General features: G+C 46.8%; 1 protein-coding gene across 1 annotated transcript in view, besides 1 other annotated feature; it reads right to left on the reverse strand.

Moving 5' to 3' along the window:
* The window catches only part of POLR3A (RNA polymerase III subunit A), a 54,367-nt gene that overhangs the window by 2,707 nt on the left and 36,483 nt on the right, over positions 1–15,177 (reverse strand). The window contains exons 21-30 of the mRNA NM_007055.4: positions 13,199–13,312; positions 8,218–8,304; positions 8,048–8,130; positions 7,315–7,485; positions 6,350–6,443; positions 6,065–6,157; positions 4,798–4,962; positions 4,299–4,463; positions 3,573–3,704; positions 2,286–2,418 (exon numbers count right to left, since the gene is read on the reverse strand). Coding sequence (NP_008986.2) covers positions 2,286–2,418; positions 3,573–3,704; positions 4,299–4,463; positions 4,798–4,962; positions 6,065–6,157; positions 6,350–6,443; positions 7,315–7,485; positions 8,048–8,130; positions 8,218–8,304; positions 13,199–13,312 — 1,237 coding nt within the window. The remainder of the gene's footprint in view (positions 1–2,285; positions 2,419–3,572; positions 3,705–4,298; positions 4,464–4,797; positions 4,963–6,064; positions 6,158–6,349; positions 6,444–7,314; positions 7,486–8,047; positions 8,131–8,217; positions 8,305–13,198; positions 13,313–15,177) is intronic.
* Positions 6,199–7,398: an enhancer, noted in NCBI's record as "BRD4-independent group 4 enhancer chr10:79743812-79745011 (GRCh37/hg19 assembly coordinates)". NCBI's record gives its function as "activates an origin of replication core promoter dependent on BRD2, P300/CBP, MED14 and CDK7 cofactors, and independent of BRD4, by STARR-seq in HCT116 cells {active_cell/tissue: HCT116}" and the evidence as "EXISTENCE:reporter gene assay evidence [ECO:0000049][PMID:35650434]".

Consider the following 15,177-nt stretch of genomic DNA (forward strand, 5'->3'; position numbering starts at 1 on the left):
GGAGCTTGTTGGAGACAGAGTCAGCTCCTCCAGTTCTCCTCTCCCACCTGAGCCAAAGGCACCCTGGGAGGGCCCTGCCTTTGAGAACACAACTTAGCAAGAATACTGAAGGATGCTTAGGAAACTCTAAGTTTGCCACCCAGTGCTTCCTTAACTTAGAGCCTCCAAGAAAAGCAAACAACTGGGACAGTAGTGAGCAGAATACAATCCCCTTGGAAACTGCGGTAGGCAGCTGTTAGCTGTGCTCAGGGGAAGGGGCCAGGCCAGGCTTAAGAGCATCTGAGCCTTCATGATCTACAGCCCTGATGAGAAACACCCAGAAGGCAGGGCACCTATAGAGTTACAGGATCAAGGGGGTGGTGCAGATTCTTTCTCCAAGCCCCATGTCAACCTGGCATAAGGCTTGAGTCTACGATGAGCAAGCAAATGGCTACTGTGTTGTAGACTTTGTGCTACCAAGGAACCGGAGAGGCAAACAACTAAATTAAAGACCAACATGCAATGAGGGCGAACACTGGGTTACAATGTGCTGAAGGACCAGGAGGAGGGGAAAACTTCAAATTGGGGGTGGGGTGGCAGTGCCAGGCAGTCAAGGAGACTGGTGGTGGAGAAAGGTGCTGGTGTATGGGGCCGCAGAGCTGCGGCAAAGGCCCGGTTTCCAGGTGTCAGGCTTGAGTGCTGGGTCTCAGCCCTATTGTCAGGCAGACTTGCTCTTCTCTTGGCCTTGGGCTTTCTTCCAGTCTTCTGTGTACCTCCCTCTGGCCCCATTCTAACTGCTGCTCCTTTTCTTTTCCCTTCATGCTAGTTTTTTTTTTTTTTTTTTGAGACGGAGTCCTGCTCTGTTGCTCAGGCTAGAGTGCAGTGGTGCAATCTCGGCTCACTGCAACCTCTGCCTCCCAGGTTCAAGAGATTCTCCTGCCTCAGCCTCCCGAGTAGCTGGGATTACAGGTGCCTGCCACCGTGCCCAGCTAATTTTTATATTTTTTTTAGTAGAGACGGGGTCTCACCATCTTGGCCAGGTTGGTCTTGAACTCCTGACCTCGTGATCCACCCGCCTTGGCCTCCCAAAGTGCTGGGATTACAGGCGTGAGCCACCGCGCCCGGCCCACGCTTGTTTTTTGATTTTAAAAATATTTAAATAGACACGAGTTCTCATTATGTTGCCCAGCCTGGCCTCAAACTCCTGGGCTCAAGTGATCGTCCTGCCTCAGCCTCCCGAGTAGCTGGGACAATAGCAACACCATGCCCGCTCTCACCCTTCTTTATCTTAAAGACTTATGTAATATTTATTTCCCTCCATCTCCAATCCCTGTCCCTTCTGAAAAGAGAAACAGTTAATCTTAGAGGCAAAAAATGGGTATATACTCTAATGATGCCAATCTGTACAAGAGCAGGAGGTGAGAGAGCAAAGGGCTACTGGGAAGCAGAGCTCTGGCCTGGAAACAGCAGCCAGACTTGGAATCCCTGTGTGGGCCTGACTGGTGTGTGCCCCGGGGCAGGTTGCTGGCCCTCTCGAACCCCAGCCCCTTACCAGCTCTCACCCCAAGCCTGCAGGGTCTTCCTGCGGAATCAGAAAGGCTCGAGCAAAGCTCAGCAGTCAGTGCTGGTCTCACGGAAGAGGCAGGGAAGCCAGACACTGGGGAGAGTTCCCCTCGTGCTCCCTCTCCCCCAGGCCAGCACAGCCCCATAAAGCCATGTTTTGTCGAGTGGCGGGGATGAGGCATGGTGCAGAGCAAGGCTCTGCTGGTGGACTCGACAGCAAGCGAGGTCACCTTGGTCTTCTGACTTGTCAAAGGGCTTAATATCCACACCCCACGGGTGGGTAGAGATACTTGACACATATGATGCCTGGCACAGGGGCTCAGCAGGCATTGATGGCCACCTCCCAAGGACAGTAGGACACTCTGCTCTGCCCAGCGCCCAGCCAGTACCTGCTCCTGTCAGCCCTGGTGTCACACACAGGGGTCAGGATCAGTGTGGCTGACTACAAAGTCAAGGGCTAGAAAAATTCTTACATGCCCAGGGTTGCTCTTTGCTTCGTGGACCAAAAACCATCTGTGCTGACAGAGGGAAGTCATCCAACAGATGTAAACGGGGATGCAGGATGCTACAGTCAGGATTTGGAGATAAAAGATCCAGCAGTTCCAATTCGTGTCTATTGACATTATTCTTGAAAAAATAAACGCTCTGCCACTCAGTTTTTTTCATTCCCTTGGAAGCCTAGCCATGGTCTATTTGTAAATAGTAAAGGCCTTTGATGCTGTTCATAGAAACATCAAACCTACCACACACAGAGTCCTTCTGCCCGAAGTAGGCAGCGTCAAAGAGATGGTCAGCCGTCTTCTCAAAGGAGGCCAGCATCAGCACACTCTCCTTCATCTTGGCCAGGCCAAACCTAGTGATGCCCAGGACTTCACCCTGCGTCAAGGGAGAAAGAGTCACGGTGGTACTCACACCAATGGCAAAAGCTCGAAACCAAAGCACGGTGCACCTTCAATACAATCAACAAAAATCCTCCAAGACCCAACGTCAGGTGTGAAAGGCCCTGAGGAGCTATGGGTCCGCCCTCTGTGTCCCATTGAGGTGGTCAATCGTCGGCAACATGAAACTTCACACTCGCATCCAGACGCCATCAGAACAAAGAAGAATTGAGAACTAGAATTCAGAGACTAACTTTAAAAAAGGGGAGTATTTCTGAAGAGATTTCTTATGGCTCAAAGAACTAAAAATAAAAGAATGTAAAAACCTCAAGTATGAAGAGAATTAATTAAATTTAGGTAATTCTACTCAAAGGAATATTGTGCCATAATTTAAAAAGTATATTTATTAAAACCATGAAACAAGATGGAAAACATTTGTGATGTTAAACAAAAAGTCACAACAAAAACTGCATGCACACAGTTTCCTGCGACTAAAGCAAAAGATGCATAAAGAATAGGACTTCACAGAAGACATCGAACCGACAGCCTCAGGGTGGTAGGAAATGGGCCATTTCCCTCACCTGGTTTCTAAATAGTCTGTAATACTCTATCGACTTGTTTGGGGAAGCCTTATGAAAACCTGCTGCCCTAAGGCACAGCTAGAGGGAAATACGTTTTTTTTGGAAAAGAGAGAAAAAAAAAATCAAACCAACCAACCCACCTCAGCCTCCCGCCCCCAACTTCAGATCATGTTAACTTATTTTTTCCTGGGAATGGCTACAGAAGAGTGATGGATGGGTTTAATAAGAAAGAAACACCTCAACTTGCCATGGGACTCTCTGGGCTTTGGCAGTGGCTAATTTTGCTTTAGGATGACATTCAGGATGAGGACGGAACCAAGCTCCAGCTCTCTTCACTCCACCGACTGGGTATGAGTTTGCCATGAGGCTGTAACTCTCATACTGGGATTTCACCAGGACACTCAGCCTGACCAGCATACTTTGGTTTTTGAGCAATGTTCACATCTTATTTTCTCTCTATGATGGTCCTCACAGCAGCGTATTCTACATGTCTTAGAAACTCCACAGGCTTATTCTCCTGAAAGTGAGTTTCGGGATGCCCAGGCAGCCCGGGGGCCTCCTGCCCACATACCTTGTAGGTCATGAGGTCGGAGAGCAGCATCACGTGCCTCCTGTCGATGCTCATGCCGTGGTTCACCATGGTGTACTGGATTTCATTGATGATCGTTGTCCGGGCGGCCTCGATGCCCAGAGTTTTCTCCACCTACAGAGAGCCAGTAATGAGCAGAAGCAGCCCCTTCCGGGAGGCCACTGCAAATTCTCTCCACTTTCTCCTCTGCCCTGCAGTTTCAAAGCAAACCCTGTGCCGTTTTCCAGAAATGGATTGCTGGGCAATTTTCAGTTGCAGACCCACGGCAAATGGGATGGTCAGAGAAGTATGCTGGGAGGCCGGGCACAGTGGCTCATGCCTGTAATCCCAGCACTTTGGGAGGCCGAGGCGGGCGGATCATGAGGTCAGGAGATCGAGACCATCCTGGCTAACATGGTGAAACCCCATTTCTACTAAAAATACAAAAAAAAAAAAAAAAAAAAATTAGCCGGGCGTGGTGGTGGGTGCCTGTAGTCCCAGCTACTCGGGAGGCTGAGGCAGGAGAATGGCGTGAACCCGGGAGGCAGAGCTTGCAGTGAGCAGAGATCACGCCACTGCACTCCAGCCTGGGCAACAGAGCAAGACTCCATCTCAAAAAAAAAAAAAAAAAAAAAAAAAAAAGAAGTATACTGGGAATCAGTGGAAGGCCTGCAGATGGCACAAGGAAGACAGCCTAACCCTAAGGCGACCCCGTGGGCTGAGTGGTACCTCATAGGTGTTATTGGAGGTGGTTCGGGTGCCCTTCACACCGTGTGTGGCCATGACTGCCCGCAGGTTATCACCTTCCACCAGAAGCTTGTACTTCTCCTTTCCACTCTGCTCGTCAATGTGGATGACAGCTCTGGACACCTCTGGAATGCCCTGCACCACCACCTGGATTCAGAGACAGAGAAAGCTGTGAGGACGGGGTGAGCCATGCCCTGGGCTGATCACCTTGATCACCCCAGCTTTCAGCAGTGGTCATCTGTTAACACACTAGAGCTAGTTTTAGGGATAAGGGAGAACAGAAGTTGTTCAGGGGACTGCACCTCATCCTAACATCAGTTTTTTGATAGAACAGAGAGGAATCTAACAGACTAACTCCTTGGGGATAAGGCCAAGAAGAAATTAAGAAATCGGACTAAGTGACAAAGCCCTTAGGTCCCAGCCCTGGGTGTCACACCACAGGGAGATGCTGGGTCTCCATGAGAAGCGACTTCTGTTTCACCTTGGGGAGATCCTCTTTCAGGAACTGCAGCACGTAGTACATGGAGCTCTTGCTGTTCTCTCTGGGGGTGACACACACCACAGCCTCACCATGAACAGCCACATCACCGGGCTTCACACGGAGCTTGGATGTGCAGATGGAATATCTCACTGTCTCAGCGTTCACCTGCAACATGGCCAGGTGTAGGTGTTACTGATTCCAGTGTTGTTCTTCGTTTATTTCATTGTTGCCCCTCTAAGAAGTCCTTTTAGTCAGGTTTGTTCTAAGCACCCCCCACCCGCACCATGAAATTAATACCATAAATATGCTACATATGTTTTATGTACTATATGTGTATATATATCTATGCTTTATTCATAAAAAGAGTAGTTTTTTTCACCCACGACAAAATATTTGCCCTTGAAAATTCATGCTCAGTTCATGGCAACACACGCAGCCTCTGTGGGAAGCTCTAGGGAGGCTGGAGGTTGGAGGCCAGGCTAATTAAAAGCTTCCGTGGGGCCTCCCCTTTACCTGACACTTTCACAATGGTTCATGTGCTACGTTCCTGGATACAACTCATCTCTTCTGCAAAGGAGCCACAAGGCAGGCAGCAAGAGACAGGCTAGAGAAATCCCCAAACTGGAGAGCAGGTTGCTGCATTTGAGTCAACTGTTATATGGGTAACATATGAACTTGATGCGTGAGAGAACGAGCTGACAGAATGTGTTTTAAGGGCTAGTACAGCTTTAACTACCCGAGAGAAAGAAGAGGGTGTCGGGAAGTTACTCAGTTTGTACCCCAAGTTGGTCTGTTTGTGAGAAAGGCTGATCATCTTTCAACTGTTGCCTATTACCCATGCATGCCAGTTTAAGAAGCCAGGTTAATCTCCCCATCTAAACACATTTACTGAACTTCCTAGGCTAGCTGCCATGCTGGGCGCTGGGGATCCACAGATGAGTAAGACACAGCCAGCCCTAGGGTCCTTCCAGACACTGGGAAGAGGGACAACAAGACCACTTATCATAATACCGTGTCACAGTGAACTGGTATTGCGGTCTGCACAAAATTTCAACTAATTTTCTGTGTGTCTTTAGATGGGTATATTTGTATCAAGGTCAGGTTTAGAAAGAAAATGTGAGGGGACAACAGAATCACAAAAACCAGAAACCACACAGAAGGTTCTGCAATGCTTCCTCTGTCTTGCTTAGCTCTTGCCCTAGTTTATCAGTACCTATCTTGGGACTAACAGGATGACTTCCTCTCTACATTTAATTATGTGACTCACTTCCAGTCTCAGAAGCCTAATCCGTTCCAGGGAGAGCTTGACGAGAATAAAGCAGTCATCAGGAAGAAACACTTCTTCAATATACTCGGAAATCTGGAGTGTCAAAAGATCAGACTGTTAATCAGCCGCTTTCCCCTTTCCTAAGAGCACACGACTGCTTGCTTTTTTGAAGAGCTTGAGTAGTGTGGACGCCACAGGCTGGTCAATAGATGGCAGCTGATTTTTACACTTCCTTGCAACATTGCTGAGCTAGTTTTCTTGTTATCAATAGGGATTTCTTCTTACCTCTCCCAAGAGGGTTTTCTCAATTCTCCCTTTCACGAGGCGAGCATAATCCGCGTCGTCATCCTTGTCTAGCTGTGCTGTGATAATTGGAGTGCTGTTGAGAAGCAAAGGAAAAATGGCACTAGCACAAGGGAGGAGGCTGTTTGAGGACTACTGCTTTGTTAAACCCAAGTGCTATTTAGAATCATAATGTTACTAGCAACCCCAGTTTACTGAGCAAGCTCTGCCTCCCAGGTTCATGCCATTCTCCTGCCTCAGCCTCTGGAGTAGCTGGGACTACAGGCGCTCGCCACCACGCCCAGCTAATTTTTTGTATTTTTAGTAGAGACGGGGTTTCACCATGTTAGCCAGGATGTCTTGATCTCCTGACCTCGTGATCTGCCCGCCTCAGCCTCCCAAAGTGCTGGGATTACAGGCGTGAGCCATTGCGCCCAGCCGACTATCTTTCATTCAATGCTACGTATTATCATTTTGTTAAATATAGGTCATAGGTAAAAATCATTATTTTTGTCATCGAAGGCATTGTAATACATTTCTATTTCTTCTAGCCTTAGATCAACTAGAAATCCCATCATGAAATCACCAGGGGCTCACAGAATATGACCACAGGGCAAGTGGCAGACATTTCAGTCAGGCCTAGTTAGGCTGGAATAATGACATCAAAAGGATGAAATCTCCACTGACACATTGCTCCAATTTTTCCAGTCATTTTAAACATTTTCTCTCTTCATGTTACTTGTGGCCATAACAAAACCATTGCTTCTATTTTGACTGTATCCAGTTTAGACTTTTTCTTGAGTGGCTTTTTTAAAAACCAAAATAGGATTAACACAGCAAGCATGCCACCCAGAGTTTAAGACACAGTCCTATGAGGATATCACACATATGCATGTGACACGGGGATCATTGTTTCTCAGGAAACAGGACAGGCATGTGTGGAACAAGAAGGAAATGAAAGCAGGCACCTGATGGCCTTGGAAGCGTTGATGATCTCTTTAATCCGGGGCACGCCCAGGGTGATGTTCATGGAGGCCACACCTGCAAAGTGGAAAGTCTTCAGGGTCATCTGGGTGCCTGGCTCACCAATGCTCTGGGCACACAGAGCACCCACTGCAGAACCTGGCTCCATCTGTGCCCTAGAAGGCAAAGGTATGGATGAGATTGCAGCATGCCAAAGAAAAGTCCAGCAAAACTGCTGGGGAGAGGCTTCTGGTTATCACCTTTCAACAGAGAATATAGATGCTATTAGGGTCGGAAAGGGTATGTCTGTGACAGAGAAAAAGCCTGGCATAGACCAGAAATAGGTACAGACAGGGGAAAGTAAAGGTCAGAGAGGGGGCAGCAGTGCAACTCAATTCTGCATGGCTGCTTGTGGTCAGCATGTAATGGATGCAGAAAATCTAAGCAGTCTGCTAACCAATGGTACTGATGGCAAACAGAGCAGTGGCATCTGCCATATTCGTTAGCAGTTTCCCCATGGGGAGAAGACACTAAGAAATTTCCTTGCAATTATTTCCGTTATCTTGGAGCATTCAGACTGGCAATTCATCAGACCCCCTACAGAAAATGTGACAGAATCTGATCAAATACTGGCAGTTAACAAGTGAGCTGGTGCAGGGTTTTGTACACATGGGGAAACAGAAGGGATACGTGAGACCTATGTGGATGACCGTCAGTCCAAGACAAAAGCATCCCTACCTCATGTACTTGTCCCTACAGGTCTCCAGAAACTTTTCTACTTGGGTGGGGGTGATGCGGTCCAGCTGGTACAGCACACGGGGCTGGGAGAATACAAGCCAAGCACAGAGTTAGGGCCAGCGGCAACTACAAACAGCTCGGGGTTCTAACGCGTCTTGGAGGGATATTACCTCTGTTGTGCCGTTATCATTGATGCCATATTTATCTCTGGTTTTCTTGATCTTCTCAGAGACCCCCTTAATGAATTTTTTTATTTCCTGAAAGATTACACAGCAAACATCATTTGTAAGTTTCACAGTCATGCAGATGACATAATTCATTTCATAAACCTCAGTTGTATATGACAAGTCCATCATATTTTAGTGTTAGCTCCATATATAGTATAAAGGACCCAATCTGGATACTGCTTCTACTACAAAGTGGTTTTCCAAGGAACACACCACACTGTCCATACCCCAGACACACACTCCATTGGTTAATGTGTCTCTAAGACCTTCTCCTCCAACTGCTCTCATGGCACTATCTACAGAGCCCACAAAGTGCGTGGGAGCCTTTGTTCTTGCTCTCCCACGTGCCACGAGGGCTATAAGAACACAGCTCAAGACAGGTACGACTGAAGCATTTATACTGTTCTTCTACAGATTAATTTTTGAGGGTTTCTTCTGAAGGTATTATGCTCAGTTTAAATACTACCAACTAAAGCATAGCTTTGTTGACAGTAAATGCATTTCAAACACACTTTGAGCTTACCTTCATTTCAAAGAAAACACTCCCCAAACCCAGCTTATCTTTTCCCCTCTGGTAACCACCTCTCCCCACAGGCCTAGGCCTACACTGTCTTCCCACACACAATTAGAAGTCTGTAAGGATTCCTGGAAACCATTGTCAAAGCCAGATGTGAAGCATCAGTATATGCTGCGATTCCCACTGTATTTAAGAACAGCACTCTCAGCCCCGGGAGGATGACCAAGTAGAGCAAGAAGAAGGTGAAAAATACACAGGTGGAAGATCAGAGCAGGGCTAGAGACTACAGCCCTGACTCAGGTTTTCTGGCAACCACTCAAATGGGTAAAACTATCTGTTTTAGGATTTACAGTGTGTCTGTGAAATAGACCCAGCCCACCACCACTCCTAAAGCCAGGATCAGCCAGCACCTTCCCCTGGAGAGTGCTCACAGGGAAGGAGCACTTACAGAGGAGCGGTTAACATCCTGCTCACAGTGGGTCAATCATCACGGACTACAGACTGGCTCTTAAAGCAATTCTCAGGGTGAGCTGATGGCACCTGCCATGTAGTAGCAACCATCCTCCAGAGGCCATTATCCTGCCATCCCGGGAGCTGGCATCGGCTGCTCTGGTGTGGCCTAGGGATGATATAGTCTCTGAGAATATGGGGAAGAGGAGATAGACTGCCCCTCCTTTGTAGCAGCAAGGAAATCACAGTGGCGGTAAGCTTGAATGGCACTCTGGCCAAATGCAGGCATTCAGCTGCTCTGTGTGTCTGGATGAGTACAGATGCCCACACATGGAGGACAAGCAGCTTGAGGGCAGACTGCGTACTGTGGTGGCCGAGAAGCCTCATGAGGTTCTGTTTCTTGATTCTGGGGTAGGCTGAGGGTCCCCCAGAGAGAAGGCCAGCATGCCCTGCCCAAAGTCCACTCAGCCTATTACATGGCTGAAAATGCCTAAGCCTGAACCAGGAGCCCATTTCTGCAAAAATAAAATCCTATAAGGTATCCACAGACAGCTTAAGACTTCCTAGCCCCATTCTATCCTAACCTTGCAAAAAGAAATCTCATTAGCCTCCTAACTAGCCATTTCTAGTTACTACCCTTTCTACAAGCAAACTGCTAGAACTTTATGTTCCTGTTAAAATAGCCTTAGCATCTGTGTCCACATGGTCTTATGCCTTTCCCAGCCAGCTGCTGCCCAGCTTGGCAAGACCTCACTGTGAGGTGGCATGGCTTTAGCCCCACCACCCTAGAGCAGAAGGCACTGAAGGCCTGAATGAGGTCAGCGCTTGGCCAAGGCAACCAACCACTCCACGAAGTCAGATGCTTTCTTCAAAGTCTTTTCTCTGAACAGGGGTTTCTTCGATGTAATCTTTGCCTACTGGGAAATTCCGTCTGTCTCCCAGGAGCCCAGGCAGCCAAGGGGCTACCTCGGGGGCCCAACACATCCTGGCTGTCAGTTCCCATGAATACTGCTTTCTCATGACTCTCTGTGTTGGCCCACTCTCTTTCTTCCCACTGAGAAAGTGCAGAGGCCCACGGAGGGTGACCCTGCAGCCCAATCATTGTTCTACATAGAAAGGGCTTTTTATTTAAGAAGTTTTACCAGCTGGGTGCGGTAGCTCATGCCTGTAATCCCAGCACTTTGGGAGGCTGAGGCAGGTGGATCACCTGAGGTCAGGAGTTGGAGACCAGCCTGGCCAACAAGGTGAAACCCCGTCTCTACTAAAAATACAAAAATTAGCTGGGCATGGTGGCACGCACCTGTAGTCCCAGCTATTTGGGAGGCTGAGGCAGGAGAATCACTTGAACCCAGGAGGCAGAGGTTGCAGTGAGCCGAGATTGTGAGACTCTGTCTCAGGAAAAAAAAAACAAAAAAACTTTTATTAATTCGCAAGAACTTTAGAGTTCTCAAGAAACTCTTTTTAAAGAGAAACTCTCCTGATTCCTTGTTATTAATGATGAGTCTGACACTGTGTTTTCAGATACAGTTACCTTTTGCAAACCAGAGATGAAAAATAAAGCTGTAGAGGGCAGTGGGACAACCTCTTCTGGCATGGCTCTAACAGAATATTCAAAGGCATTTGCACTTGCTGCCACTGAATTTTTCCTCTATATATTCAGTATAAGAGGGGGCTTTGCCTGGCAGTGGCTGGGTCCTTTTGAGAAAGGTCCCGAAAGCCCTCTTGGCCCAGATGTTGCCATTTGATCACCAGTTGTTAAAAGCTGCCTTACCTGTTGGCACAGGAAAAACAGGAGCAGAACCTAAGGCCAAGCCTTAGACCCAGAAGGTTTTCATCTGCAAGGGACTGTGCACACATAGGGAGTAAAATTAACACACCTAAAACAATCTGCCGGCTTAGGCACTGGGAATGACATAGCTCAGCTTTCACCCCAATGGACACATTTCCCGTGGGTTTGCTGAATGACTTTCCCTACACAAAGGTTCTGGAAATTAGGTTTAAAAATAAAAAAAGAAAAACAGCTCACTTTTTGGAAATGAAAACTGAAACAATCTGCTAAAAATTCACACTGAGTCAACCCATGCATACTAGAGGGAACGAACTCACAACATGGCTATTGGCAGGCAATTCATCACACGATTAACCAGAAGTTAGTGTCTCATGCTCCACAGCAGGCCTATGAGCACGGGCATTCTCCTCTGGCAGGGACCTGGGCTCAATGCCACTCAGGAGTGCCTCTGTCACCTCAGCTCTGATACGGGCTAGGGCTGGAGAACATTTCACGGGCTCAGACACATCTGTTCTGGCCAGTGGATTTTGGACCCTCTCAGCAAATCTGAGCTCATCGGATTGTGAGCTGCCGGTGGCAAGGACATGTTTAGTCATCCTTGCATCCCCAGGATCTGTGGACTGTGTGACATATGGTGAGGGCTAAACCAGTGCTCACTGAATAAACAAATGCTGCCGGGTAGGAGGTCACCTGTGTTAAACCTTTTCAAGGGCAAGAAAGGAACCAGTCCAAAGCAAAGCAGTGTTTGCCAGAACCGGGACAGAAACCTGCTCTCTCTGGCGCTGGCAAATGCTGGGGTGCTGCTGGAGTGGGCCCTTTCTGTTGGCGTTCACAGCATGCTAAGTACGTTACCTCGTTATAGCTTTCATAACCTGTCTCAGTTAAGGTCTTTGAGGACAAACAGATAAATACGTAAACATGAGCGTGAAGAAAAACCAAATTACAACTCTAATTTGTTAGTTAAAAAAAAAGAATAAGAAAGCCTTTGGAGGAGAAAAACAGACAAAGGCACCCAGCCTTGCCACACTCTTGATTTTAAAATCTGGAAGAGTCTCTTTTTCACCTTTCACACCTTGACACATGAACACAAGAAGCGAGGAGCTTCCTTAACACAAATATTCTTATTTAAGCTTCACTCGCTGTTTTTATTTTTGATCTACGGAAAGAGATACATTCTTCTTTGGCCTGCTGATCTTGTGCTACATTTGAATTACTATTTAGTACACAAAGGAAACCATTTACTGATTTCTGTATCCCTTTGCTTTTGATCCTAACCATGATTATAAACATGAAGGAGCTGCCTGAGCAGGTCAGAACCATAAAAAAAAAACAAAAAACAAACGAACCAAAAAACCTTAAGAGGGTATCAAAGTAACAGCTCCCTGGAAGAATAGAAAAGGCTGATTCAATGGATTTTTGATCCACAATACAGCAAAAGAAAGAGCAGTTTAAAATAAATGGTATCAAAACAAGACTACTAGTACTAATAATTATTGGGATTCAGAATGATTGAGGGAAGAGTTGGCTCACAAGATAGAGTAGGTAGTAGGCTGGTGTTAGGGACAGCGCTCAAACAAAATCAGCATTTTTCTTCTAACAGGGGAAAAAAACATTTTTCTTCTAATAGGGAAATGGCTTGAGTGAAAGACATAAACTAAGAAAGTCATGAGATAAATTCTGCTTGTTGGCTGGTGAGATTTTGCCTTGGCCATTTTTGAATGACTGCCTGTCATTTTTTTTTTTTTTTTTGAGATGGAGTCTTGCTCTGTTGCCCAGGCTGAAGTGCAGTGGTGCCATCCCGGTGTACTGCAACCTCCGCCTCTCAGGTTCAAGCGATTCTCCTGCCTCAGCCTCCCGAGCTGGGATTACAGGTGCCCGCCACCACGCCCGGCTAATTTTTGTATTTTTAGTAGAGACAGGGTCTCATCGTGTTGGCCAATCTGGTTTTGAACTCCTGACCTCAAGTGATCCACCTGCCTCGGCCTCCCAAAGTGCTGGGATTACAGGCATGAGCCACCATGCCTGGCCCATTCTTGAACTTTCTAACAAAGGAACAACCCTACCTTAAAAAACAACCAGCTTATAAAATCCACTTGCCAGCCCTTGGCAAACAGAGTTCTTTACGACAGCCAGGCTGGGTGCAGTAGCCAGCACCTGGCAGAGCTCACCTGCAGGAAGCTGTCCTGGCAGCAGAGGAACTCACTCTTCTTCATGATGGACTCTGTGGTCAGGATCAGCTCGTTTTTGCTGAGAGCAGGCTCACTGGGACACGGGAAGACTGCCTTGAGTATTAAAAGAAAATTGCATTATGTGTGGGTGCCACAGAGAGCAGGCGGTAGTAGATGAGAGAACTTACAAAGGATAAAATGACCTTACCCAAGGTGAGCTTTTAGCAACCTGTGATTTTTCTTTCAAAACAAATTGTGGACTCTACCTTTCATGTGAAGGTGAAAACTGGATAAATGGATACTCCATCCTATGCAAAAATTTCTGGGCTATTCAGCAGGTGTTGTCCCATCACTTCCCAGCCTTCGCCACCCCACTGCCCCCCACCAGATTTACATTAAAAATATAAGCTGTTATTTAAAAAACTCAAACATTTCAAGAGTGAAAATATTCTCCCACTTCTGAAGCTCATAAATTTCTCTTTTTTTTGAGATGGAGTCTTGCTGGATTGCCAAGGCTGGAGTGCAATGGCGCCATCTCGGCTCACTGCAACCTCTGCCTCCCAGGTTCAAGTGATTCTCTTGCCTCAGCCTCCCGAGTAGCTGGGACTACAGGCATGCGCCACCACGTACGATTAATTTTTTTGTATTTTTAGTAGAGACGGGGTTTCACCATGTTGGCCAGGCTGGTTTCAAACTCCTGACCTCAAGTGATATGACCGCCTCAGCCTCCCAAAGGACTAGGATTACAAGCGTGAGCCCCAGCAGAATTTCCTCTTTTTTCCTCTCCTCTGCTTTGTCCAAGTTGACTCAATGTTTTAATGGCTGCATTATTATTCTTTTGTATAGACAGACCATCATGTATTTGAACTATCCTCTACTGATGGTTTGCCTTTACTGTAAGCAGCGTAGAAAAAACATTCTTGGCATAGTTAGACCATTTCTAGAGGACAAAAGGAGTTTCTGTAAGGGAAACTACTGGGTCAAAAGGGACACGTATTTAAAACTCAGAATGGTATTGTCCAGCTACTCTCCAAAAAGGTTGTTCCAAGTTATATTCTCAAAGTATGTGAAGTGTGCCTGCTTTTCAATGCCCATGACTTATAAAACTGGTCTCTAGTATGCTCTACTTGACACAGAGCGAAACCAAACAAAGCCCTCTTCTGTTGGCATTTGATTACTACCAACACTAGACTTTCAACTGAAAACAACTTTTTTTTTCATCTTTTTTTTTTTTTTAAGACAGGGTCTTGGTCTGTCACCCAGGCTGGAATGTAGTGGTAAGATCAGCTCACTGTGGCCTCAAATTCCTGGGCTTAAGGATTCACCTGCCCCAGCCTCCTGAGTAGCTGGAACTTTAGGAGCATGCCATCATCCCTGGCTAATTCTTTTTTTTTTTTTTTTTTTTTTTGAGATGGAATCTCGCTCTGTTGCCAGGTTGGAGTGCAGTGGTGTGATCTCAGTTCATTGCAACCTCCAACTCCCTGGTTCAAGTGATTCTCCTGCCTCAGCCTCCCAAGTAGCTGGGATTATAGGCACGTACCACCACACCCAGCTAATTTTTGTATCTTTAGTAGAGATGGGGTTTCACCATGTTGGCCAGGATGGTCTCGATCTCTTGATCTTGTGATCTGCCCGATGTCTGGCTAATTCTTTAAAAAATATTTTTTTAGAGATAGAGTTTTTCCTCTGTTGCCCAGGCTGACCTCAAACTTCTCGCCTCAAGTGATTCTCCTGCCTTGGCCTCCCAAATTGCTAGGATTCTAGGTGTAAGCCACTGCACTTGGCCTTTTTCCTTTAAATATTGGAAAGTAAAAAAAAAAAGCAAAACTTTTTTCTTTTTTTTATAGAGACGGGGTCTCACTTTGCTGCCCAGGCTAGTCTTAAACTCCTGGCCTCAAGTGATCCTCCTGCCTTGGCCTCCCAAAGTGCTGTGATCACAGGCATAAGCCATTGTGCCTGGCCCTTCCCTTTTAATATCG

This window comes from Homo sapiens, chromosome 10 (assembly GCF_000001405.40).
Source record: "Homo sapiens chromosome 10, GRCh38.p14 Primary Assembly".
NCBI lineage: Eukaryota > Metazoa > Chordata > Mammalia > Primates > Hominidae > Homo > Homo sapiens.